At 43.3% G+C, this 27,910-nt stretch overlaps 1 long non-coding RNA gene and 1 other non-coding gene across 2 annotated transcripts, besides 5 other annotated features; one reads left to right on the plus strand and one right to left on the minus strand.

The window, feature by feature from the left end:
• Positions 1-3,072: 3,072 nt before the first annotated feature.
• LINC01151 (long intergenic non-protein coding RNA 1151) lies at positions 3,073-26,794 on the minus strand. Its single transcript, NR_126348.1, has 4 exons — positions 26,569-26,794; positions 26,061-26,169; positions 3,957-4,076; positions 3,073-3,188 (listed from the first exon to the last, which is right to left on the minus strand). It is a non-coding gene; the product is annotated as a long intergenic non-protein coding RNA 1151 (long non-coding RNA).
• Positions 3,979-4,082, plus strand: LOC124902081 (small nucleolar RNA U13). The gene has a single exon (XR_007061212.1). It is a non-coding gene; the product is annotated as a small nucleolar RNA U13 (small nucleolar RNA).
• Positions 10,178-10,472: a silencer, noted in NCBI's record as "tiled region #1583; K562 Repressive non-DNase unmatched - State 13:Ctcf". NCBI's record gives its function as "represses a minimal TATA promoter and a strong SV40 promoter by Sharpr-MPRA in K562 cells {active_cell/tissue: K562}" and the evidence as "EXISTENCE:reporter gene assay evidence [ECO:0000049][PMID:27701403]".
• Positions 22,261-23,460: an enhancer, noted in NCBI's record as "BRD4-independent group 4 enhancer chr8:123701812-123703011 (GRCh37/hg19 assembly coordinates)". NCBI's record gives its function as "activates an origin of replication core promoter dependent on BRD2, P300/CBP, MED14 and CDK7 cofactors, and independent of BRD4, by STARR-seq in HCT116 cells {active_cell/tissue: HCT116}" and the evidence as "EXISTENCE:reporter gene assay evidence [ECO:0000049][PMID:35650434]".
• Positions 26,090-27,289: an enhancer, noted in NCBI's record as "CDK7 strongly-dependent group 2 enhancer chr8:123705641-123706840 (GRCh37/hg19 assembly coordinates)". NCBI's record gives its function as "activates an origin of replication core promoter dependent on BRD2, BRD4, P300/CBP, MED14 and CDK7 cofactors, with strong dependence on CDK7, by STARR-seq in HCT116 cells {active_cell/tissue: HCT116}" and the evidence as "EXISTENCE:reporter gene assay evidence [ECO:0000049][PMID:35650434]".
• Positions 26,090-27,610: a biological region, named in NCBI's record as "CDK7 strongly-dependent group 2 enhancer GRCh37_chr8:123705641-123706840".
• Positions 27,110-27,610: an enhancer, noted in NCBI's record as "NANOG-H3K27ac hESC enhancer chr8:123706661-123707161 (GRCh37/hg19 assembly coordinates)". NCBI's record gives its function as "activates a minimal SCP1, AML or CMV promoter by ChIP-STARR-seq in naive H9 embryonic stem cells {active_cell/tissue: H9 hESC(naive)}" and the evidence as "EXISTENCE:reporter gene assay evidence [ECO:0000049][PMID:30033119]".

The following is a 27,910-nucleotide window of genomic DNA, read 5'->3' on the forward strand; positions in this document are numbered from 1 at the left end:
GAAGATTTCCTGCATATCTGGTTTAAAATAGTCCATTCCCTCTTCCCACCTGGCCACCTGCTACCTCCTTCCTCAGCTTTATTTTACTTAATAGCACCTATCACTACCAATTAATATATTTTACAATTTTTTTTTATTTGTTGTTCGTCTCTCCTTCTAGAACATAAATTTCACAAGGACAGGAACTTTTTCTTACTTACTATTAAAATTCACAGAACTCTTAACACTGCCAGGTACATGGTAGACTTCAAAAAATTATATTTGTTTTGAATGAATGAATGAAGAAATGATGCCTGAGATTTTCACACTTACTGTCTGTGCGAATATGGGCAAATTATTTTAATTTTTGAGTTCAGTTTCCTTGTCTGTGAAATGGAGACAGCAGTCCCTGAATTTTCTACTTTCCTGGGTTATCGTGAGGACCAAAGCAGATTGCGACTGCAAGTATGCCTTCCAAACAACAAAGAACTATGGAAATATTACATAGGATTATTGATACATTAGCCTATTTCAGACACCAGGCAAATTTTTGGCCAAACTCTGAGAGAGAAAACTGTGTCTCCGATGGACTTTACCTCATTTTTCTATTACCATTTCCCCAAAATGTGGTATATGCTTTTCTCCTCTTGAATCCAGGCACTTCCTCTTATTTGTAGAATAGGAAGAGTAATACAAACCTGGGTTATCTCCAAATCTGCCACAGCTGACCTTGGAGAAGTTCCTTAACCTTCTGAGGCTCAGATTCTTTATCCATTAAATAGTGAGTATGAAGAACTGATTTCGTAAAGCTATTATGAGGCTGTAATGAGTCATGCATATGAAGAACTTTGAAGATTGAGTGGGATATAGTAATCTTGTAATAAGTGTTAGTTATTGTTATTCACTTAACTATTGACTGCCTGTGCAAATGATACTTCATACATTTTTGTATGTGAATCAGATGAGGGAAGGTATGCCCATTACTTAGAATGGTGCTGGAAGCCTCACAGGTGCTTAATAAATAATTGCCATTATAAGTAGTAGCGGTGGTGGTGGTCGTGGTAGCAGTAGTTCAGAGCAGTTGTGAATTTCAACAAAATTGTTTTAATGGTCCATGGTCTCTTGATATAATTTTGTTCTTCTCCTTTTCCAGCATTGTGGTGCTAATTAGGAGACTTTTATATAAACCTTTTCCCTAACCATTTCAGCAAGTCACAATTCATTACACCCAAAAGCATCAGTCCAAATTCTAACATAATAAACCCCATGGCTACAGGCCCTACCCCACCCCACCCCCTGAAAAAGAGATCAATGATCTGTGGGTGTTGGTTGCAATGTAAAAGTCAAAACCTGACTACAGTTAAGTTTGTAGGGGCCCTGGCACTGCTACCTGCCTAGGAATTGATGACCTACGGTTTTCAACCTCTCCTAGAAATATGAACTGGGTTCTTGGCATAGAGTCTCCACAAAATCACCAGTGCAGTACTTCCTAAATACAGATATCCCTCATTCTCTTTCTCTAAGTATGAAATGGAATCCAAACTTTGGTCAAGCTTTCAAAAGACATCCTTCTCACTAATTCTTCCCTAGGATCTCTGCTTTAATCTAAGAGAATGATAGGCAGCCATGCCAACTTCCTACATCTATTATCAATTCCGAAAAAGCTGTTCCCATTTCCTTTGAGCCACATGCTAAAACATCTTCTCACCCTCACCATAAAATCGTTCAATGCTGTAAGAGGATATTATAGACTTCCACTTAAAAGTGGTGGATGGAACATAAACATTATTTCTGCTCCCTCCCAGAAATTCCAATAAATATTACAGCAAAGGAATTTTTTTTTTTTTTGAGATGGAGTCTCACTCTGTCACCCAGGCTGGAGGGCACTGGCCTGATCTCAGCTCACTGCAACCTCCACCTCCTGGGTTCAAGCGATTCTCCCGCCTCAGCTTCTCAAGTAGCGGAGATTACAGGCACCCGCCATCATGCCTAGCTAATTTTTGTATTTTTAGAAGAGATGGGGTTTCCCTATGTTGACCAGGCTGTTCTCGAACTCCTGACTTCAGGTGATGCACCCTCCTTGGCCTCCCAAAGTGCTGGGATTACAGGTGTGAGCCACTGTGCCCGGCTGGAAAATTTTTTTTAAGCATTAAACCTCAATGAAAAAGATAACCAGAAAGAACATAAACAAATAAAATCTGGGGCTCTAGGAAGCAGATGAACCAGTGATAACTCACTTAACAGACCTAAGGAAGTTGAACCCCAAGCTAACAATAAGAACAAGCCCGATTTTCACTGCAGAATCCCAGGGTACCACTGGACATAGGTGGGAAGTTGAGTCTGTTGACACAATGACTGGCTGGAAGTATGTTTAAGAAGTAGATAGACCCTCCCCAGGCCCCTCATCCTGCCCCTTCCCCAACCCAGACAACTGAAGGCTTAATTCCTGGAAAGAATAAAGCATAGTGGGGCATATACAGCATTGTTGAGGGCAGGGACAGTGTACTGAACACAGGAAGATTGAGTGAGAGGTTACACACTGAGTATGAGGACCTTAGCTCTCAGAGCATAAGAAGCCAGACTTAACACTCTGCTTGCCAGAGACTGAAGCACACCTCTCTAGGAAGTCTATCTACTCCAAGAAAAGATATAGCAGCACTAACAACAGAATACCCCTGGAGAAGCAGATTGGCCAAATCACCTTACAAGTAGTGAGTTCAGAGTTAACAAGTTCCACCCCCACACACTGAGTTTCTAATTTGCTTTTAAGCGTCTCATTTCAAAATGTGAGCCTTAGTCAATGACCACCAAAACTCTGAGGAAATTCCCTAACTTGAAAAATACAATTGACTCTCCAAAAACTTAACTACTAATAGCCTACTCTTGACTGGAAGACTTACCAATAACATAAACAATCACTAAACACTTTTTTATCATATATGTATTATATATTGTATTCTTACAATAAAGTAAGCTAGAGAAAAGAAAATCTTATGAAGAAAATCATAAGGAGGAAAAAAATATGTATTTTTTATTGAGTGGAAGTGGATCGTCACAAAGGTCCTTACCTTAGTCATCTTCACGTTGAATAGGCTAAGGAAAAGAAGCAAGAGGAAGGGTTGGTCTTGCTGTCTCAGGGTGCAGAAGCAGAAGATAATCCACATATTAGCAGACTCAGGCAGTTCAAATTCATGTTATTCAAGGGCCAACTGTAAAGGCCAAAATATTATGGGGGAAAAAAAAGCAACTTATAGAAAACTCTGCAGGAAAATAAAAACTTCAAAAGGAAACTATCATCAACATCCTCAGACAAATAGGAGAAGTTATTGTAATTTATTAAATAAAAACAATATTCTGGCAAAAGGAAAACAATTGTAAAACAAGATAGTAATTATAAATTCAAATTTGACAGCCAGAATGAAAATTTCAGTCAAATAGTTAGAAGATAAATTTAGGGAAATCTCTTAGAAAGTAGAATGAAAAATCAAAAAGATGGAAGATATGATATAAAAGATAAGAAATATAGAAAATCATTCTAGGAGTTCATCAACTGAGTAACTAAAATTTCAGAAAAAGAACTTGAAAAATAGAAGAAAAAAGACACAAGAAATAATCCAAGAAATTTATCAGTACTGAAGGGCATGAGTTTCTAGACTTAAAAGGTACAGTAAATATTCAGTACAATAGATAAAAATAAACTCACACTAAGTTCCATCATCTTAAACTTTCAGAACAATAGACATAAAAGAGGGAATTTTAAAACTTTTCAGAAAAAGGTAAAAATCATTGCTCAAAATACCAAAATGACTGTGAATTTCTCAACAGCCCCAGTAGAAGCAAAAAGATAATGTAACAATGACTTTAGAATTCTGTAGAAAAAAATTATTTCTAGCCTAGAATTCTACACCTATCAAAGTTAACAATTAAATATTTGGGTGGGATACAAACATTTCAGACATAAGTCTCAAAACAATTACCTGCCGTGAGCCCATACTGGAGATCCTTTTGTAGTTCATAAGCATGATGATCGGGTGTTCATGTCCGAGCATGAGATGTGCCTCCCTCAAACCTTGTTGTGACGTTGGCACATTTCCCATCTGATGTGAAAAAGGAAAAAAAAAAAAAAGAAGAAGAAGCTACTAGGTAAGTCCAAAATTATGAGGCAAAGCAAGAAAGAGGAAGACATGGAGTCTGGGAAATGAGAACGTCAATCCAAGAAAGAGCAAAGGAAATCCCAGAGATAAAGGCAAAGGGAGATCCAAGTATAGCCATGTACTCAGCCTAGAAATAAACTAGTCCAGGCTGGAGCAGCTCTGTAGGGTACAGGAAAGATGATCGAAAGATGGCTTTGTTAGAATACCGGATGTGAGTGAGTGTATTGAGAGGAAATTTAAACAACCGAGGAGAAAGTTTGGAGTGAATTAGTGATAGAAAACAAAACAAAGGAAGAAAAAACAATATAACTATTAACTCCAGGAAAACCTAAAGATTGTGCAAGAAAATAAAAGTAAGCACATTTCAGCTGTGAAGAGTATTTATAGGGACAGGAAAATATACACACTGAATATTAACCTAAGCAAAATTATGAAATAACAGTAGTGGGATAATGAGAGCATGGGGGTCCGGGGGTTCAGGAACCGTGCATGATGGGGCATGGTAGAAATGGTAAAAGAGGGCTAAAATAGTGAGAGGCTAACAGTTAATGCTTAAAGCATTAGGCAAAAAAGAAGGAGCACTATAAGCATATACCAGTGACATGGAGGCGATACCAAAATAACCAGCTGCAAGAGCTGAATGTGTTGATTCTAGGAAGCAGGAAATGCTGGGTCAAGAGAAGAGTCTATTATTTTTCACTATGCCTTCTAAAATTATTTAACCCTGAAAATCATGTGTGTGTATAAAGTTAATCAAAATTAAAACTAAATTTTAAAATAATCATGCATCAATGATAAATTAAAAGGATGATTTTAATTTGGCTTCTCTTTGTCATGTGCACACATAGACACACGGAGCCATTTGGGCAATACATTTTGCAAAGCATCTAAATGCATGAAAATATTCCAGGAAAGTGTTAATGATGGCCTAGGCCAATCTGTCTTTTGTAAATAATTTCTCAGGCAAGTATACTAATTAGAGCTAAGATAGGCAAATGATACAACAACCCACCAATCAAGAGCATTTGCTGCTCGTCTATTGAACACATAGCAATAAATATTCAACATTCTGTGGGGTAAACAACCAAGTGTAAGATATGGTTTCTGGCATTATGGATTTTATGATCCAATTAAAGACATGAAACATAAACTTTTGTAAAGTTAAATGACAGTACAAAATGTATAAATAAGGTTTTATTTAAAAAGTAAAAGATGTTGCAAGATAATACATGACTTTTGCTAAGTCGATGCCGCAGACTACAGAAGTGTTATTGTTTAGAACAAAGAAAAGTCAGGATGCAGGGAAGGGATCTCAGAGAAAAGAGATTAGAAATAGGTCTTGAAAAAATGGGCTGGATTTGAATGAATGGAGGAATAGGGGAATTCCAAAGGCGGATCCAGGAAAGGAAGATGTCGTCTTGGCACCGTGAAGAGATTACAGGTTTCAGAGCCTAGGCGTTTGAGTGACAGCCTGCTCACCAGAACGGGACAGCAATTAGCCTTTGGCCTGAGGAAAGCAACTTGTTCAGAATAAAGTATTTTTATCACCCACAGTGAGGCCAAGAATCCAGTCAGATGTCCTGTTGGGATGTGAATCTGTCATTTTATGAGCTCAAAAAACCCCAGGAATGGCTTCGAATCCATGTTACAGGTCCGAGTTCCCTGGAAACAGCAATTGCCTCTTAGCAAAATCATTAATTAGGGCATTGCCTTAATTCCATTGTGAATAATAAAAATATGTGCACAGACTTCTGTACTTTGATGAAAGCATCAGGGTGTGATTTATGGGGGAAGATGCTCTCCGGGGAATATAAATATGTAAGCCTTACATACTTATAAAGTTCAAGCACATTACCTCTTCAACGGCTTTCAAAACTAAAGTGACCTCAGTTCAGTCAAATAAATAGGACAGACATGTAAATTAGCAAAAGAAGTGCTCTGACATTTATGCAAGGCTTATATCCCACGATGAACAATATCTAGATCAGTGGGAAGTCGGAAGCATTCTATATGTAGCTATCGCCAGACAAATCTAAACACTTGGTAGGCACTCAAAAAAAACTTACTGATTTTAAGTAATTAAAGGGGATCTGGTGGGCAGATACAAAAAGACAGAAGTCGCATCATGAGGCAAGGTTGCGACCGGAGTCTTTCTAGCCAGTTCCAGAAGAGCAGGTGGTTATATCCACCAGTGCCCAGAAGAGGGCAGCCAAGAGCTGCTCAACTGGAACCTTCCTGGGAAGGACACCCACTTGGCACCAGCCAGGGTAAACTGTCCTCTCCCCGGCACACAGAACAGAATCAGCCCAGAACTGATTGGTGAAGAAGTTTGGGGAGAAAAAAAGCAGGGGTGGGAAACATGGACTAAAGGTGTTCAAGACAGATGAAGAACCAGACCAAGAAGAATCATGGAGAAGCCAGAGAATGGAAAAGAAAGACAGCAGCCAGAGGTCAAAGGAACAAGGCACAGGAGTGCAGCAGCCCTGACCTTGCCACTCCCCTGCTCAAAAGAGTTCAATGGCTCCCTACTGTCCATCACACAAACTTCGTAGCCTGACATTCAGGGTCCCACTCTAATCTAACCCTAACCCACCTTAAGAATCTTGGGATTTGCTAGGTTTTTAATCATACACTCAAGATTCCAAGCAAACCAAAGTCTTTCTTGTGACTTTCTTCCTCAGTGTCTTTGTTCCTCCTGTCCCTTCACTCACTGCTCTAAACAATGAGTGGCTGCCACATACTAGTAATGAGAGGAAGGGATACAGGATCAACCAGAAGAAGTGCCCACCTTCAAAGCTGCCAGGAAGAGACAGTGCCATGTACTACCATGAGGGAAGCAAGAGTGGATGGGGTGGAGAGATAAGTGGCTAAGTCAGGCTGTCCGAAAAGGCTTCTTGGAGGAGGTGACCATCCCCCTGAAATCACCTTGCCTTTCCTCTCCACTCATCTAAACCTTCAGCGCCTGCTGAAGGACCATCTGTTGTTTTCATCTGCCTGCCTGCCTATTCCCACTCCTGGTAAAATATTCCATCTCCTCCTTTAGGAAACTGCTCCCTACCCCATCTGCCAGGTAGGCTGATCTGGTAATGTGGTTGATCATATTACCCCATCCTCTGATCCACAGAGGTTGGTTCAAGGAAGATCCTTCAAGACAGACTAATCAGATGTCTTCCCTGGAGTTTTCCCCTCCATTTTGGAATTGAAGGAATAGCTAGCTTTCTCTTTCCCCTGGATTGGAAGCTGACAAGATAGATACCAGAGCTGCTGATGCCATGTCCCTTGCCTCATGGAGGATTCTGAGAGAATAAACTGGAAAGAGATGGAGAAAATTGACACTATACAAATGCCAGAATTCAGTTGCCCTGAATTAGGGCAAGGCCTCTGCTCCACTGTGAGCAGCAAAAGCCCAATTCCAGAGCTCAGCCAAAGGAGTTTGTTTTTCTTGGGTAGCAGATGTTTAAAAGGCCAGTGGACAAGCTCTGCTGCTCTGGCTTCATGATGACATCAAAGACCGTTTTCCTCCGCCATCCCCATCACATGAATCTCCTCATGCTCCAAAATGATTGCTACATCTCTGGGGTTATATCCACATTCCACACTGGAAGGGCAGAAAGCATGTGCCCATTGAGGGTATCCCTTTTCATCAGAAAAATAATATATTCCCAGAAAACCCAACCTGTATCCTTCTGCTTACATCTCAGTGTTCAGAAGTGTCACATGGCCACCCCTCACTGCAAGGAAGTCCAAACAGCTGAGTATTTTTAACTGGCATACTGAGACAACAGAGGAAATACACATTGTGTAAGTAACTGGTGGTATCTGCTCAAGTCCTAAATGTCTTTGTTTGCCTGCATAAACCCATAAATTCTCCTTTTTTGCTTAAGCTAGCTGGAGATGGGTGTTTGTAACTTTCAATCAAAAAGCCATGGCTAAGACACCTGCCAAATGCCACCACCACCATAGAGCCTCCCTGATCTCACTACATCAGAATAATCTTGATGTCTTCAACTTCCAACAGGTCCTTTTCCCACCAGCAACCTGAGGAAGGGAAATCACAGGGACAGGGCGATCGCACCTAGGCAGCCAAACCCCACCCCAGCAGCCAAAGCAGGCAGAAGAACCCTGCCAGCAGGATTGCTGGAATCTAGCTCTCTTCTCTCTCTCGCTTCACCTGCGAAGGGCCACAAAAGAGCTGTTTCAAAGCCATCAGCATCATGAACCCAGCCACTGCTATTGACCCCATATGCTGAACCCAGCAATAAATACTATCCAGGGCTTGTTGCTGGCAAGAAAGGGGGAGAGAGCAACAGCCCTGATTTGCCACTAAAACACTTAAACATAATAGGATACATCTACAGGATGAAGCACTAGAAAGGAATAAAAAGAGAATGAGGAAGCTCTGGATGCATTAATGTGAAACACTTCTAAAACCGTTACTAAGAGGAAAAAAGCTAATTGCAAAATGGTGCCCGTATATATATGAGATATATAGATAGGATATATATATACACATATAAAATAATCATTTGTGATAAAAGAAAGAAAAATAGTATCTGCACCAATATTTGTACCTGCAGAAAATATCTCTAGAAGGATATACAATGCAAGAGACTGGTACTTTTGGCTGCCTATAGGGTGAAGAACAGGAAGGCTACAAAATAGGAGGGCAATGTTTCTCCGTACGCTCTTTAAACCTTTTGAATTTTGGACCTAGGAGTGAACCACCTATTTGAAAAAGAATGAAAATATGTTTCTGTAAGTAAACACATTACAGTTTGTGCTGGTATGTCTGGTATGTTTTGTTTAGTTAAGGCAAAACAATAGGAAGGATGAAATTGGCAAACTGGGCTGGGAAGAGAAAAGGAAGACAGAAAAATTAGCATCCATTTAACAATAAAATAGAAATAGCATTTTGGGTGAAGGGATGCTTTTCTCATATCTTGCTTCAAGCATTTACAGACATCATTCATCCTGTCTTTTCTACAAGCTGTGGAAAAATTGATTCAATTCCTTCCAGCTTAGAGCAGAGGAAAGGCCTAAAGAGCTGAGTCTCTGACACCGCCGCATTTCCCCAACCTGGCCAGGCCACCCCATCCTTGCTCAGTCTGTTTCCTGTGTCTGGAATCGCTCCCCTTTCTACTCTCTCCATTCCAAGGAGCCGCTCCAACACCTACACGGCTTCTCCATTGAAAATAGCTGTTCCAATAGACCAGGCATTGGCCTTTTCTGAAAAGAGTCAGGTGGTAAATAGTTTAGGCTTTTTTTTCATGGCTGTTCTGTCTCTGTCATAACCAGCCAACTCTGCTGTTGTAGCATGAAAGCAGTGATAGATAATACATAAACAAATGGGCATGGCTGTATTCCAATAAAACTTTATTTACAAAAACAAACAGGCTGTAATCCAGGCCACTGACAACACCAAATGCTGGCAGGGATGTGGAGCAACAGGAACTCTCATTCATGGCTGGTTGAAATGCAACATGGTACAGCCACTTTGGAAGACAGCTTGGCCGTTTCTTACAACACTAAACATACTCTTGCCATATGATCCAGCAATTGCTCTCTTTGGTATTTACCCAAAACCGTTGAAAAATTATGTCCACACAAAAACCTGCACATGGATGTTTAGAGCAGCTTTATTCATAATTGCCAACACTTGGAAGCAACCAAGATGCCCTTCAGTAGGTGAATGAATAAATAAACTGGTCTATCCAGACAATGGAATAGTATTTAGCACTAAAAAGAAATGAGCTATCAAACCATGAAAAGACGCGGAGGAAACATAAATGCATATTACAAAATAAAGAAGCCAGTGTGAAAAGACTACATACTGTATGATTCCAGCTACATGACCCTCAAGAAAAGGCAAAACTATGGAGACAGTAAAAAGATCAGTGGTTGCCAGGGGTTGGTGGGGGAGAAAGGGGTGAAGAGGCAGAGTACACAGGATTTTTAGGGCAGTGAAACCACTCTGATGAAACCACAATGGTGGATACGCATCAGTATACATTTGTCCAAACCCATAGAATGTACACCATGAATGATCCAGAATGTAAACTATAGACTCCATGAGTGATAATGATGTGCCAATCATCAGCTGTAACAAATGTGGCTATTGGTGGGTGAAGTTGATAATGGGGGAGGCTGTGCATGTGTCAGGGCAAGGAATAAATGGGAAATCTCCCATTTATTTATGTTCCTCTGGCTCCCAGGAGGGGGAGCAGCTGTTCCCTCCGTCCGCTCAAGGGGCCTCCGCACGCTGCAGGCATTCTCTGGGGTCCCTGGACCTAGGAGACTCTCCCCAGAGTACCAGTCCTCCCAGTCTCCCCGGCAAAATCAGTGCTGCCCAAACCTCCCACTCAGTGTTGCTGTGAACCTAAAACTCCTCTAAAAATAAAGTCTATTAAACAAACAAACAAACAAACAAATAGGTGGTGGCCATATTTGGCCTGTGGGCCATTGTTTGCTGACCCTTCCTTTGGACTCCAGGGAAATTTGCCATCAGTGACCATCATTCTCTGCATTACTTTATAGTAGGTGGATTTGTTGCCATTTCTTGCCCTCAGATGCAAACACTTTGAAGATAAAAACTGTCTCTTCTTATCCCATCCACTAGCCTGAATGTTGGTTGGATTAAATTGGCCTAAAGTGATGTAACCCAGCTGCCAAAGACAGAACACAGCTCATAGCTTTCTCTTTCCTGGGGCATGTCTGTTGCATCAAACACCAGCCCTTTCACCACTTGCCCGCCATAGGCCCTGAAAAACAATGTCCCTGCCTGCCCTACTACCCTGGGCACCCTGTTTCCAGAAGCTTCCAGATGAGCACAGTCGGAGAGCCTTCTCTAAGTGTTTGGTAGAGGGTGTAGATTAAATAACTTTTAAAGCAAAATTCAAAAACAACAGCATTCAAAAGCACCAAATTCCAAAGCAGCATCGCTCCACCAGGCTGCCACATCTCCTTTTCTCACACATGGCCCTACTGGTTTGCAGTTTAATCGAATATTTATGTTGCTGTTAGCTTTTTGGTCCACCTACAACATTCTAATGTAGCAAACTAGCATTTATTGAACAGCTACTACCTGCCAGTTGCTCTGAACATTTTAAAGAGATGTCCAAGGAAGGAAGAGGGGATGTTTACTTTCCATTGTATAACTTACGGTGTGCTTTGAATTTTTTACTATGTACATTGTTGTACTATGTACTATATACATAATTTCAGCTTATAGAGTAAGTGACTGGAGGATTTGATGTGTCATTTCTGAAAATGTATATTTTCACATGTGAGGTCTTTCTGAAGGTGATTGCAGATTCCTAACAAAATCTAGAGAAAAATAAATAATTTTTGTTTTGTACTTGAAAATTGCCAAACTGCATTAAATAATCTTGCGCTCTAAGATTCTTTTCTGTACTCATGTCATTGTACTTCCAAAGTCAAGGGCCTCTGTGTTCTGAGACTTGGAAATTCAAAAAAGATGCAGCTTCTCCTCGGCCCTTTGTCCACCCGCCTCCACCCTGGAACAGGCTGCCTTCAGCCCTGCCATGATCACCGCAGCCCGGCAGGACTGTTGTTCCTCTGGCTCCCAGGAGGGGGAGCAGCTGTTCCCCTTGTCCGCTCAAGGGGCCTCCGCACCCTGCAGGCATTCTCTGGGGTCCCTGGACCTAGGAGACTCTCCCCAAAGTACCAGTCCTCCCAGTCTCCCTGACAAAATCAATGCTGCCCAAACTTCCCCGTGCTGCTGAAAATGCAGAGACGTGAAATCCCACTGAAGACCGTGCTGGAAGCTAGCCCAGCCTCCACCATGACTGCGACCCGCCTTCAATCCCTGAAACTTTGAGGAAAATAAGTGAGACGTGTATTTTGACACACCAAAACAATGAGCGAAGCTGCCCCCACCCCTGAGGGCCATTGGGCTTTCTCCCCTGATGATATGTGTCCCGTCTAAATCTCATGTTGAAATGCAATCCCCAGTGTTGGAGGTGGGAGCTGGTGGAAGGTGAATGGATCACGGCGGGTGGATCCCTCAAGGCTTGGTGCTGTCCTTGCACCAAGGACAATAATGAGTGAGTTCTCAATAAGATCTGGTTGTTCGAGGGTGTGGCACTCCCCCCAATATACACTGTCTCTTGCTGCCGCTCCTGCTATGTGAGATGCCTGCTCCCCCTTTGCCTTCCACCATGATTGAAAGCTTCCCGAGGCCTCCCGGAAGCCAAGAAGATGCAGGCACCATGCTTCCTAAACAGCCTGCAGAACCGCGAGCGAATTAAACCTCTTTCCTTTATAAGTTACCCAGCCTTGTATGGGCACCGTGGCTCGCGCCTGTAGTCCTAGCACTTTGGGAGGCCGAGGCAGGTGGATCACTTGAGGTCAGGAGTTCGAGACCAGCCTGACCATCATGGCAAAACCCGGTCTCTACTAAAAATACAAAAATTAGCTTGGCACAGTGGTGCACACCTGTAATTCCAGCTACTCGGGAGGCTGAGGCACGAGGATCATTTGAACCTGGGAGGCAGAGGTTGCAGTGAGCCAAGATCATGCCACTGAACTCCAGCCTATGTGACAGAGCGAGACTCTGTCTCAGAAAAAAAACAAAAACAAAAAACAAAACAAAACAAAACAAAAAAAGCCAATCTCAGGTATTTTATAGTGGTGTAAGAACAGCCTAACACACCTGATTCAGTCATGTTCTGCCAGAGCTCCCTCTGCACCTTCTAGAGCCTGTGTTTGACCCTCAAAAAGTAACCGGTGTAACTGAGGAACTGCCTTTTTAAAATTTTGCTTTAATTAAGGTAAATGTAAGTTTTTAAATAGACAATTCAGTTATTGAAAAAACTTTATGTTTAGAACAATGCGGAGAGATGACTCTACTGTTTCAATTGTAAATTTTATGAAATTGAAATACAGATCAAATATTTTCTATGAAAATTTAGAGTTCAGATTGAGATGTGCCATAAGTATAAAATACATACCAGATTTTGAACACTCAATATCAAAAAATGCAAAGTATCTCATTCATAATTATTTATATTGATTACATGCAGAAATGACGTTTTAGATATCTTAGCTTAAATAGAATATATTATTAAACTCAATTTCACCAGTGTCTTTTTTCTTTGTTTAATGTGGCTACTAGAAAATGTTTAATTAATGTATAGTTTACATTACATTTCTATTGGACGGCACTGTTCTAGGCCATTTCCCAGTTGTCCTTTGCATTGGGAAATGGGCCAGAAATTTTGCTGCTTCTGGCAGGCTGCCCTCCTAGAATGAACAGGATGGTATCCTCAACAGAAACTGCTCAGCTTTCTGAGGCTCGGGAGATGAAAGGAGAGAGAAAGGAGGCGCATTGGCAGGAAGAGCTGGGCCTGACTTCCTTGGAAAAGCCAGCCCTGGTGCCAGTCAGTGCCCCACCCACCCTGGGATCCCTGTGGGCCCACAATGGGCCCTCTCTTGGTAATCCAGGGATGATAAACACATGGTGCAGGCTCTCCAGGGACACATGGCTCACAGAGGGATACATGCAGAGGCAGGATGTGCAGAAGCAGCTATTATAATTCACCAGAGAAGGCCGGGAGTTCTCCAAAGTTGAGGTGGCACTGAACAAGATTGGCAGGGATTCAGACCTCTCTCCAGCTGGCCTCTGTAGTGGCTCTGCAGAGTCTAGTGGTGACTGAATCTACTGCTAAGCCAGATGCATAAACCTGGGCATCAGAACCCCTCTCTGAGCCTTGGTTTCCACCCATAAAATGAGAGGGTTTACAGCCTCTATTTTAAAATGCGGTAACTCAACACAACTGCCTTTTTCTCTACGTAGCATTGGCAGAGTCATGGGGCTCCAATCAGGCCCAAGGCCAGGCCTTTATTTTTCTCCTAGAGAGCTCACTCAGAAGTTCATTTCCATGCCCCGTGCCCAAGGCCAGGTCTCCTTGAAATGCAGCCAAAAGCTCATTAAATGTACACAGAAGGGAGAGCCACTGGGACGTGAGGGCCTGCTCTGCTCAGCATGACCAGCGCCGGGTGTGTAGCTTTCTGTGACCCATCTCCTCCGGCTGCATTTTCCCCACCTCTGGGGAGCACCTCTGTTCCAGAAGGCTCTGAGTTGGAAACACACAGGATGAATTTGGGCACATGTCCTCAGTCACAAATGCCAACAGAATTGGAATATCCAGCAAAGTGCTTTCCAGCCTCCTGGTGCCCAGAGACCTGGGAAGCCAGAGAGTGGAGAGTCCAGGGTAGGAGGTAGAAAGAGCTGTGCAGTGGAAACCCAGAAACCCAGCTCCAACCCTGACTCAGCCAACCGCTAACTCAGTGCCGTGGACAAAAGAATAATATCAACGTGCTCATGTGCATGTGTGTGCATGTGTGTGCGTGTGTGTGCATGTGTGTGCGTGTGGGCATGTGTGCATATGCATGTGTGTGTGTTTGCATGTGTGTGTGCATGTGCGTGTTTGTGTGTGTGTGCGTGTATGTGTGTGTCCCCATGTGCCGGGCCCAGAAAGGAAATATCACTGTGAGTAAAGAAAGAAGCCCTTGTCCTTCTGAGGCTTCCACTCAATTATAAGACAAGATGCACAAAAGTAGTGTAGATAAAGTGCAATGGCAAAAAGTAGATGACAACTTTACCTCCAACTACAGGGACTGGGACTGATTTCCTGGCAAGGAGGCATTTGGGAGAACAAACAAGTGCGAAGTGCCCAGGAGGAGAGGCCAAGGAGGTTTAAAGGCGTGTTCTCAGAACACCAAGTTTAGTTGACGTCTACCTCCTCTCAGCAACTTTCTACAACAGTGAGTTGACTCCTCCCTATTCTCTGAGACATAAAGCTCATTCCAAACGGTTCAAGGCTTGACTGTTCATACTTATTGTTGTTGCATTTATATTACCATCAAGAGCATTTGTGATGATCTGCTACCAGGGTGCTTAGTGCGTGTCTTGTCTCTCTAATAGCACAGTCAGGGAATAGGTCCAATGCTTTCTCTTATTCCCTGCCAGCCTGCCGTGCAATCTCTGGGTTGGAAGGAACCCTGGAAATCATGCTATCCAGTTCCCCATCTTCTCTTTCCCGGAGGCCTCTGCAAGACTGACAGGCATACCGTCTGCCTCTTTATTCTGTGTTTGTGCAAAACAGTGTGTTAAAACAGGTTCTGTTTTAGTATCAGCCGAGGCTCCAAGACACCAAGAGTGACTGCACCCCATTTCTAAGGAAAAGTGAAAGACCACAAAGACTTACACAGGAGGTAGTCAGAAACGGGTTTTAGGGCCCCAATCTATCCACCACCCGAACTTTAAAGAATTTGGAGGCCGGGCGCGGTGGCTCACACCTGTAATCCCAGCACTTTGGGAGGCCCAGGCGGGTGGATCACAAGGTCAGGAGATCGAGACCATCCTGGCTAACACAGTGAAACCCTGTCTCTACTAAAAAAAAAATTACAAAAAAATTAGCCGGGCGTGGTGGCGGGTGTCTGTCGTCCCAGCTACTCGGGAGGCTGAGGCAGGAGAATGGCGTGAACCCGGGAGGCGGAGCTTGCAGGGAGCCGAGATCGCACCACTGCACTCCAGACCCGGTGACAGAGCGACACTCCTTCTGAAAAAAAAAAAAAAAAAAAAAAGAATTTGGAGCTGGGCTGGGATTAGACAAGAATTTGGGGAGATAGCTGCCAATCCTTACACTCCCCACCCTTCTGGGGAGAGGCTGTTTCTAACCACCTCAAGCCTAGGTGAAGGGGCTTCCATGAGACCTCCTGGAAGGCTTGCAGCATGTTCCCTGGATCACGGGAGACTCCATCGATTGATGTCTGGCTCACCCTGAGAAATTTAAAGGGCGAGAGATGGCGGCAGGCCAGTTGCGCCGAAGGTGGAGTGAGACGAGGTGATCGCGTTGAGGGAGACTTGCTTTTCCCGAGTCTGTCAGGGCAAAGCATGTGTGAGTTTCCCATGGAGCAGAACTGGCCTGGGAGGTGCGGCGCCAGATGCTAGGGGGTGAGGGAGAAGCAGTGGAGGAACGGTCAGAAGAGATGCATGCTCCCAGTCAGGCAAAGGCAGATAAGAGGCGGTTGCTGCAAATTACCCATGAAGGAACCCATGAGGTGAGTCATCTGTCAACCCCAGATGGCTGGAACACCACCAGCGGAGTGAGTCTCTTCCCACCCGCTTCCCTCCTCTCTTCTCCTCTTGCCCTGGCCAATCCTGGAGAAGCCAAGGGGTGGGGGGAGTATGGAGGGAAAATGGAAGCACCAGGTGAAGCAAATAGAGGCGCACAGCCCCACAACCCCTTCTCACTGCAGGTGCCAGCCTAATGCAGCAAAGCTGGGAGAGGGAGGAAATTTTCATTTGCAATGTCGATGGGAGGATTTGGGTCCTTATCCTGGAATGGGCATATTAATTACCAATGGAGACTGGGTTTTTGTGGAAGAAGTAACTGGATCATGTTTTCTTAGATAAGGGCGACAAAAGACTTCGTAGAACTTGCCCCACTTTTATTAAGGAGCAGAATAAATATTGCAGAACAAGCTTAACAAGACAGTGGGAGACCAAAAATACGATTCGTTTCTGTTGCATCCTACAAGTCCCTGCTTGTTCAATATGATGGTGTAATATATACACAATTTCCAAAATTGGGATCATATGCTACATGGTATTCAAATCTTTTTTTTTCTCAAAGAATAATATATCATGAAGTTTTTCCCTTGGAAGAAAATATTCATCTACAAGTCGAACATACCACCATCTGGACATGCTGTAATTTATTTGCCCAATATCGTATTCAATGTTTGCTCTTGCAAATCACACTAAAATCAAATATCCTATGCATAACTCTTTGTTTGATTTGACATATTTGATTCCTTCCTAAGGATAAATTCCAAGAAGTGGAATTGCTAGACTAATGGGTAGAAACCTTTTTAAGGCTTTTTATCTCTATCATCAAAGAGGCGCAGGATCTCGAAACACGTTTTCACTAAGTAGGACTGAGTTGTCCAGAAAAAGCCTGAAGAGGCTGGATACATCCTGCAGTCTGTGTAGCCCCACTCAGGTAGGCAGGGAAGTACGACGGTGACTATCGAGGTTATTCCACAGCTATGTAAGGGTAGCGAGAATCGCACCTGACCAAGCCCACACTGTTTTTGCTACTATAAGACACACATACAGAATTCAAGTGATATTCACGAGAATAACACTTGTGTCGACGCATCTTTTCCTGACTCGCTCAAGGGGTTAATTTCTGGGGGAGGCAGCATGGAGAGTATGGTCAAGAGCACGAATCCTGGAGTCAGACAGCTTGGCCTTAGCTCCACCGTGGACTAAACATGTTACTGGAGCAAGTTACTTCTCTCTGTCCTGAGCTTCCTCATTCATAAACCTTCCAAATTCAATTAATTCCTGAAAATGCCTAACCAAGTGCCTGGAATTCAGTACATGCTCAATAAGTGGTGTCATTAGTTGTCATTTTCTGGTCTTATCAGAAGAACTGAAGCCAGATCAGCTAAATCTGTGGTTCTCAGTTGGGAGTGATTTTGCCACACGGGGTATATTTGGCAATGTCTAGAGACATTTTTGATTGTCACAGCATGGGAGGGAGGAGGTGCCGCTGGTATCTAGTGGGTGGAGGCCGGGGACACTTCTTAACTTCCATGCACCAGAGAGACCCCCACAGCACAATGTCAGTAGTGCTGAGTTTGAGAGTCCCTGAGCTAAACCATCCCTGGTGCTCACCTGAGTGCCAGCTCTCACATGCACATGAGCACTGCATTTCTCTTTTGTGCAATGACATTTCTGTGTGGCATTTCCCTCCCACTATCTCTGGGGTCACCTGGTATACTGAACAGGCAGGACTGGCCACATCTCCTGTCTAGCACTCACAGTATGAGAGAATAGAGAGGAATCTAGTTACCAGGGGCATTCACAGGCTTCTGCTACAATGATGCTGTATAGCAATTACAAATCTCTGAGGCGCACAAAATAAGCATTTATTTGTTGCTCATAGCTTTGAGAGGTGGTTTGGACAGTTTGGCTTCAGGTGATGGGTCAAGTTCAGATCTGCCCCACCTTCATGTTCAGAATGCATCTCATTCTGGAACCCAGGCTGAAAAAGACCCCAAGACTGTGGGTTCTTCCCATGGCAAAAGTCCCAGAAGGGCAAGAAGAAACAGCAGTGCCTCCTGAGGCTCAGAACTGGCACAGACCCTTCAGCCATGTTCCATTAGCCACAACCCATTTGTGGCCCCTGTTACCTACAGGATAACATGCACATGCCTTAGGCTGCACTCAATCCTTTATTAAAATCAAGTAGACTATAAATACATACGCTTTTTTTTCTTTTTGTCTGTAGCAGAACATAAAAAGCAGAACAAAAAAGCCTCATTGTTCATCTCTGTCAAGTTCTGGCCAGTGATCAATAAGCAGAGATATTGTATGGAACATGCTGAATGGCATTGTCTCAGGGACAGGACAGGTCTTCTTCCATTTCTCCTTCCTGCTGCCTGGGATCCAGATGTAGTGGCAGGAATTTTAGCAGCCATTTTGGACCTTGAGGATGGAAAGTACACATGGTGGAGCAGAAAGCGTAAGGTTCTTGGATCTCTGATAATGCATGGAGCTGCCTTAGCAGCCCTGTACTTACTACCCATCTCCAAAATATTTTATATGAGACAACAGACTCTTGTATGTTTAAGGCTTTGGAGTCGAACCTCTCATTTATAAACAAACTTGATTTTAAAACATACCTCAAGGATTCCCTGAGTTCACTGGCTGAACACACCTTCATTTCAGTGTGTTATACATTCACTTCCCTATCAGCAATGCTGATGTTCCCTACCCAGCCTAAAAGGACAGAATAAAAAGCCTCTCACATCCAGGTCAGTCTTTGCATTATGGCTGCCAGTCTCTTTCTTCCGAAAACTTGGGGGGTGGGGGAGGGAGAGATAAAGTTTTACCACCAAAGAAGTCACTAACGAAGTGCCAGGAAATTTTTATACATTCGATTACCAATCACCAGTAACAGGTGAATTCTATCATTTTTCTTCTGGGCAATATTAATGTTTTGCACTTTGAAACCAAAGTCCTTGAGCACAGCTGTTATCCTCCACTGCCTCTGGAAACTCCTCTCCGGTTCACACGGAAGGCTACCCTTTACCTCCCACTCCCTCCCAAACCTTAGTGCTCACAGCCATCCTTTGTCCATTTCTGTCTATTTGATATATGCCAGTTCCTCTGGCTGCTGTCCAACTGCAGGGCTTCTGAGCTTAGCGTGAAAGCCCCCAAATGATCCTGCCCCACCCTCTCTACCAGAGTCCATGCATCAAGTCCTTTAATCAGTTACTGTAATTCCCCTTATCTACACCTGCCTCACACTAATCCAGTATCTCGGTGGAACAATGAGGCTTCCAAATAGAGGTAATTTCTTCCACTGCCCATTCTCTGCATGGCCAGTGAACTGACAGAGTCATAAAACAGGGCAGAGGTCGCAGAGTGCCTCCAGGGCAGTGATTTCCAGAGTGTTTTTATTTTAAACCTGGAACTCTTTGTTCACATGAAATCTTAGGTAAAGCCAAATATGCAAAGCGGTTAAAGACAGAGCCCTCCAAATGGAAGGGAGATGGTGGGAGCAAGTTTGGAGGGGACCCAGCCCCACTGCCGCCCCTCAGCAGTTTTGAAGGGAACCCACAGAAACCCAAGTCTCTGAGTGGATGAATGCTCTTCCTTCTTCCCTCTACTTAAACGCTCCTCCCCCAGGGGTTTGCTCTGATCATTTCCTCATTCCAATCAAGTCTCTAGACAATGTCACCTTCCCTGGCCACTTATCTAAAGTAGCCCCCACTCCACATCACTCTCTATTCTTGCAGGCTGCATTAGTCTTGTGTCAGCTTGAGAATGGAATAAGAAATGTAAACCTTGCTGGGTGCAGTGGCTCACACCTGTAATCTCAGCACTTTGGGAGGCCAAGGCGGGCAGATCACCTGACATCAGGAGTTCGAGACCAGCCTGGTCAACATGGTGAAACCCTGTCTCTATTAAAAACACAAAAAATTAGCCAGGCATGGTGGCAGGTGCCTGTAGTCCCAGCTACTTGGGAGGCTGAGGCAGGAGAATCTCTTGAACCCAGGAGGCAGAGGCTTCAGTGAACCGAGATCATGACACTGCACTCCAGCCTGGGTGGCAGAGTGAAACTCCATCTCAAAAAAAAAAAAAGAAAAATGTAAACTTTTATTAGAGGAAACACATATGAGAAAATGAAGGGAGTGAACTGGGACTGGTTGGGAGAGCTGTCAAACTGCAGTGAAGATCTGCCTGTAAGTGAAGGAGAGAGGGAAGGAAAGGAGGGTGGGAGAGAGGAAGGATTTCAGACTAGAATACACTTCTACAAAAATTCCAGCAAGCCCTTCAGAGAGTACTCAAGCCAAAGTTTCCCATCAAGAAATCCCAAGTCTGCCTCAGTGTCCCTGCCACACTGGGACATTGAGGGGAAGCAGTCCCAGTGCAAACACAGTGGTGCATTCCCAAATGCAGCTGCCGAGGTTCTCAGTCACTTTCACACTCTGCACCATGAGATCCCAGAGGCTCATTCTCATGGCCACCAAAATTTTCCTTTATAGTGCTTTCACTATCTGACATTATATTTAGTATTTATTTGTTTGTTATTGTCCCCAAGCTAAAATGTAAACTCCATGCTGACAGGGGTGTGCCTGGCTTGTTCCCTACAGTATCCTCAGCTCCTAGAACAATATCTGGCAAATAAAAAGCAAATATCTGTTGGATGAATGGGCAGGTAGAGGGATGTTTTATGGGCTGCAAAGGAGTTATAACATGAAGAAAATAGTGTAAAGATCTCAGAGTTGTATTGTTAATCAAAAAGAAAAACGACAGCATCTTTTCATCTTGGGAAACATCTTGGAGAAAGAACAGACTGCGGTTGAGACAGCTTCAGGAACGCCGCTGCCTCGGGGAAGAGACAGGATTCACAAAAGTGAGGGCAATTCAGCCAAGAGCTTGAGTATATCAGGTTGTTGGTTGGTCAGGGTTGCAATTCATCCAGGCTGAGAGACTAAAATTTACTTTCCTGAAGCTAAAGGGAAGCCAGTGGCCATGAAAAACTGAAAATACAATATAATCTCCTCCTCTTTAGAAAACAGAGACAGAGACAGAGAGAGACTGGCCTTCTCTTGCATGTGATCATTAGTGATCTAGGTGTGATGCTATCCCCATAACATCCTTCACCCCGCCCCGCACAAACCCTCCACCCTGAGAGCACTGTTCTTTCAAACTCTGAGATCTAGATCATGTGAAGATCTGATTCCACTACCTAAATTTCAGAGTCAGAAGATCTGAGAAGACTCAGACTTATGTTAACAAGTGTGTAGAAACGTGAAAGAGGAATGTCTTCTCTGTGAGTCAATATTGGAAACTCAAGTGATTTTTTTCCCCTTTATTAAGAACAAAAGAGGTCAGGCGCAGTGACTCATGCCTGTAATCCCAGCATTTGGGGAGGCCAAGGTGGGAGAAGCTAAGAATTTGAGACCAGCCTGAGCAACAGAGTGAGACCCACCCCCCATCTCCAAAAAAAATTTTTTTTTAATTAGCTGGGTGTGGTGGTGCACACCTGTAGTCCCAGCTACTCTGGAGGCTGAGGTGGGAGGACCGCTTGAGCCAGGAGGTGAAGGCTGCAGTGAGCCATGTTAGCACCACTGCACTCTACCCTGGATGACAGAGCAAGACCCTGTCTCAAAAAAAAAAAAGAACAAAAGAGCCCAAATGCCATATAAGAATGTCTGCTCTTAGTTTACAGAGCTTTCCAAAATACAAAGGCTTCCTTTGGTATGAAAAATTCAACAAATTTGTGTAACAAACCATAAAATTAAATGTATATACTTGAAGGACTGGGACTGCCAAATAGATTCTTCAAAATGGCTTTGCCTTTTTGATTTGCTGCACCATTTTTAGCCAAAACTGGTGCAGTGCTCTAAATATCCCAACAAAATTGGAATCTCAAGACCTCCAAAAGGCTAATGGTGACCTCCAACTTTTAATAAAAGAGCTGAGGACCAAGGGAAGACCAAGGGGTTTGATGGATTCAAGATCATAAAAGCAGCATTAATTGTCTGACCCAGGGGAGGAGGTCAGAAAAGGGGCTGCAAGGATCACACCAAGAAAGGAGACAGGCCCAGCATGGATGAGGGGGACTGTAAGCACCTCATCATCCCTTGCGTTCTCTAACCAATGCACCACACTTTTATCTGACATACACGCTGGGCTTGGTAGTAAGCTTTCACATAAAGAAAAGTCTGAGTAAACAATTTGAGTAGCACTAGTCGATTCCACTGAGATGATGTAATACTTGTATCAGATTCTTCATTCCCATAAATCCTGGGGTGTTAGTCATATAACATTGCCTGACATATTTTCCACTCCCCAACACTCAGGGGCTATCTCCAAAATGGGACAGATGTTATCTGGCACTCACCCTTTACTGGAGCTCTCAGTGGAAAAATTATGCAAAAAAAAAGTATTTCCGTGAACATTTACTGACTTCTGACTCTATGCTAGACCAGAGATTATAAGATCATCTATCCCCACAAATAACTTACAGAATAATAGAAGAGAAAGTGCACAGGCAATGTGAACATTGCTGAATGCTGAATCATTTAGAATGTGTTTGCCTGCAAGTAAGAGAATACCGCCCCCTCTCCCCGCCCACACACACACACAAAATGTGACTTAGGCATCAGGGGTTATTACTATATCTCACATATCCAAAAATCTGGGGGAGAATGTTCCCAGGTTGGTTCGGCAGTTCAGGAATGGCAGGGATCCAGTTCACCACCTCTATGATTCTCTTGGCTTTCCCCTCATAGCTTCAAGGTGGCTGCTGTAGCTCCAACCATCACATCCTCACAAAACTACGTCTAATGGCAGACATGAAAAAGATCACTCCTTTGTAGTCATGGAGGAAACTTCCCCAAGAATTCCTTGGCAGATTTCCCATCTTATCTCTTTGAGAAGAATTAAATTACATCCCCAGACTTTAGCTATAAGGCAGGTTGGGAAAGAGAATATCAGGTGTTTTCAGCTTCGGTTGAGAGAGGCAAATTCTGCCAGCAAGTAAGCAGGAGGAGGAATGGTTGTAGGTGAGTAATCAACATGGTCTGCCGTATATGTCAGGGGCAATGACAGAGAGGCATAAAGCAGGCCATGAGAGCATGGAGGAGGGGCACCTGTCTCATCAAGAGGACACTTCCTGGAGCTGGTGACACCTGAGATGAATATTAAAGAACAAATAGGATTTAGTGAGATGAAGATCATGATAGAAAGGATGGAGTGGGCCAAGGTCCCAGGTAAAGGGCCAACATGAGCAAAAGCATAGGACTGTAACAGAACACGATGTGGGCACCAACTTAGTGTCACTACAGCATCTAATGACAGGAAACGAATATTGTGAAGTGTCAGAGGCCTGGTCACAAAGGCCTCCAGGGCTGTCTACCGGAGCTTAAACTTGCAACATAAGCCAAAGCTTGCAAACTTGGAGGCTGGAGGCCAAATCCAACCTCCAGACATGTTCTGATTGGCAGGCACTTGGGGTTTGCATTCTGAGTATGAATGACTGGAGGCAGGGCATACTCCAGGGCTGAACACTTGGTCTCCCCCTTTCTATTATCTTACACCTGGACTGTTTCCCTCAGTTATGCCATCAGCCTGCTCCCTTAAGGCTTTTGAGTTCACGCTCCTGAATAGGCTCCGGAGAGCCATTGAAAGATCTTACACAGAGCAATGGCACTACCTGTTCTGTATCTCATATCATTCCTTCTGGCAGCATCGGGTTGGAGTTATGAGATTGGAAATAGGAAGACTGAGTAGAGGTATCTTTTTCAGGACTGTTGGTTGCAAGTGTCAGAAATCTTACTCAAACCTGCTTAAATTATTTAAAAAGATATGTTAGTTCCATAACTTTAGAGTCCAGGATAAGTTTAAGCCTCAAATATGGCTAGATCCAGGGGTAACATGATGACAATATGTCTCTCCATCCTGCTTTCCCATGTTTTGACTTTGTTCTCAGCCAGGCTCTCTGCTAATGGAGAACATGGTCCCTGGCAGCCCCAGACTACTGTGATCCTAAAAGTCAACTGTTGCCAAGAAAGAAGAATGTCTTTCCTGATAATTCTGACAAAAGTCCCAGGTTAAATGAGATGGCATGTGGAAGAATAAATAAATTAATAAATAAATAAATAAACAAAAGTCTCATGGAAGACTCTGATTGGCCTGGCTAGGTCATGTGACCATTCATAAGCTAAAACACAATGCTCATATAAGGAGAATGTATGGAACAGGACAAACAATCACCAGAGGATGGAACTCCAAGGATGTGAAAGGCTGAACAAAGGAAGAGAAATCTACGAAGAAAGGGTGGTCAGAGAATTAGGAATAGAATCAGAATCAAATGATATCCCAGACACAAGGAAAGAAATATTTAACACAAGTGGGCAACTCTTTCAAATTCAACTAAAGTATATTTCTTAAGTTTTTTATAAAAAACTGTGATGTATTGGATTGGTAAAATGTTAGAATTACTTTTGGTGGAGTTGTGGGCACTTGGGGCAGGTTGAGGAGTTGGCAATGGATTGAGGCATGCATAGAAAAAGTAGAAACAAAATTATAGATGACCTAAGAAATTTGGTTGAAAGAAACAGAAATAGAGAGGTTATAGAGAAAGAAACAGGATCAAGGTAAGATATTTTTGGTTGTAAAGTGTTTGAATTAGCAGGTGGGAAGGAAGCCTGAAAATAAAGAAAAGGGAGTTACTTTTTAATTTTTTTATTATTTATTTAATTTTTTAGAGACAGGGTCTTGCTCTGTCACCCAGGCTGGAGTGCAGTGATGCAATCAAAGCTCACTACAGCCCCAACTTCCCAGGCTCAAGCAATCCTCTACCTCAGCCTCTAAAGTAGCTGGGACCACAGGTGTGCACTACCACACCCAGCTAATTTTTTTTTTTAAGAGATGAGGTCTCACTATGTTGCCCAAGCTGGTCTCAAATTCCTGGGCTCAAGTGATCCTCCTGCCTCAGCCTCCCAAAGTGCTGGGACTACGTGAGCCACCACACTTGGTCAACTATTTAAAAAGAAAGATTGAATTACAAATAAATATAACTACTAGAAGCATCAAGTCAAGATACATGGCAGTTGAAAATTTCTGAGGATTGTCTAAATTCCCGTTTATGATGTCTTTCACCTTTATGGTGATGGAAGAAATAGGAAGCCCTGCTAGCATCTGCTACAGCTGTTCATTCATTCATTCATTGATTCACTCAACAAATGATTATGAAGCCACCACCTGGCCAGGCACCAGTCCAGGTGTTAGTGATCCAGCAGTGAACAAAATTGACAAAAACCTGCTTCCATGGGTAATAAATGCCCCCTGACACTCGATTCCTGGCTCTCCCACCTTCCTACAGACCTGATCCATGCACTTGGCTTCCAGCTCTTTCTGGGCCCTACAGGCAGATGTACCCAGGATACCAGGTGCCATCTCTGGCAGCTGAAAGTTTGGTTCTCTGGATTGTTCCAAACTTCATTGCTTTTGCAAGCTGCTTACTCACCACCCGACAAAGGGTGAATAGTGAATACAGTCACATCTTTCTACGCTCACCATCTTTCTTCCCTTTTAGAACCTAGAGGAGGATAGAAAATAACAAAATTTTCCCCACCTGAAGCTGCCAGTAGAATTCCCAAAATAAGATTAACTTCTCTAGATGACTCACCTAAAAATCTCGCCACACTTCTCTTGTGCTGCTGAGAAAACAACCAAAAGTAGCTATTATGCTGGAATGTAGGTGAAGATCAAAAGTGGACATCAAACTTGCCAGAAGCAGAGAGCAGGAAGACTTGAAAATAGAGATTCTGGACTCAGACTACCCAGGTTCCAATCCTGGTGTCCTCACTTACCAGCTTTCAACACCGAAAAGGAGACGCAGATGGAAATCCACCCTGCCCAAGAAGCAGCTTCCCACTGGAAAATGGTAATAAGAGTAATAATAGCAGGTGCATCAAATAGCTGTGAAAATGAGATGCAGTCATTCATTAAAGTGCTCAGCAAGGGGACCACGTGGGCGGAGGGCTGAGGTGAGGGTGCATTGCCATGTGGAAGTTGGGTACTACAGCCAGAATGCAAAAGGATAAATCCAGTGTTCACTAAATAATACTGATAAATTTTCTTACCTAATACACTCTCCTTCTGACCCACTCAGCCTGAACATAGAGAGGCAGGAAGGTAAGATTTCCCTGTCCACTTCAGAAACTGAGGTTAGTACAATTAGTTCTTCATTCTTCATGTCTGAGGCCCATTGGCTTCAAGAAAATCTATCTTTCTCTTAAAAACAACTCACTGTAACCATTAGGTCAAAATTACAGCTAAAGATCGAGTTTCTGCAAAATGTCAAATAAAATGTCTTACCATTTGTGACAAACAGCTGTTGCCTTCTTCTCCACGATGGAATCAAAGGATCTTATCACCTTAAAGGAAAACGACTAAAGCAGAATTATTTTCCTTTTAATCTTTTTTCCCCTCCATGGAAATTTACATAAGAAGGAGCTGTAATCCATTCCTTTCTGTGTGTCAGAAAATCTCCACTCTTGTGGTCTCCATGGCAGCAACTCCCAACCTGAGACAGAGGCTGTTTCACCCCACAGAGTGCATTGGACTTTTATCTGGTGAGTGCAATCAATGTAGACAAGCACATTGGATGACTCAAACTTGGGATTATTTCTGATTTTGAATTCCGTGTGTGTTTTGGCTCTCTGTGTTGGTCAACAGTGCCAGATGAATTCAAGTCTGCCTGTTACTTTATGTTGTGGTGAAATGGCCTGATAAGCCCCCTGGCGTTTTGAATGCTGGCTCTCGCTCTACACCGATGATGAAGCATTTTCCAGGTTTCTAAGGGGGTGATGCAACTGACTCACTTTCCGGGTCAGTGGGGACTTGCCCTCAAGCTGTTCTGGCAGCGGTGGGCCACTCTTTCTCAGCTTATCTTTTTGTGATGTCCTGAAACACACTCACCTGTGGCCACTGAATAGCGTTAAGCCCATGGTGGGTGAGCTATTGTGAAGCTGAATTAGCACACCCAAATGGGATTTAAACCCATGATCTGCCCTCGTGAGTGGGAACCGGTGGAGTGACCGTGTCCGACGCTCTCAAGGCTAGGTCAGGCTTTTCTGAAATGGCCATTTAAAGCCTCCATTTGTTTCATGCTGTGAAAGACTCTGTTTAGAGGGTGAAAAGACAACCTGCAGACTGGGAGAAAATATTTGCAAGCCAATATCTGACAAACATTTTGCATCTTCTAGAATATATAAAGAACTTTCAAAACTCAACAGTAAAAAAAAATTAAACATGGCTGAAAGACATGAACTGATATTTCACCAAAAAGGATAGGCAGATGGCAAATAAGCAAGAAAAGTTGTTCAATATCATTAGTCATTAGGAAACTGCAAATTAAAACCACAAAAATATATGCCTACACACCACTTAGAATAGCTAAAATTTTAAATAGTGATAATATCAAATGCTGGTAAGGATGCAGAGAAACTAGATCTCTTATACATTGCCTGTGGACATGTAAAATGGTACAGCCACCATGGAAAACAGTTTGGCAGTTTCTTACAAAATTAAACACTTACCATATGACCCAACGGTCATACTCCTGGCATTTATCCCAGAGAAATCAAAACTTATATTTACACAAAAACCTGCATATAAATATTCGTAGTGGCTGTATTCATAATGGCAAAATACTCGA

This window comes from Homo sapiens, chromosome 8 (assembly GCF_000001405.40).
Source record: "Homo sapiens chromosome 8, GRCh38.p14 Primary Assembly".
Classification (NCBI taxonomy): Eukaryota; Metazoa; Chordata; class Mammalia; order Primates; family Hominidae; genus Homo; species Homo sapiens.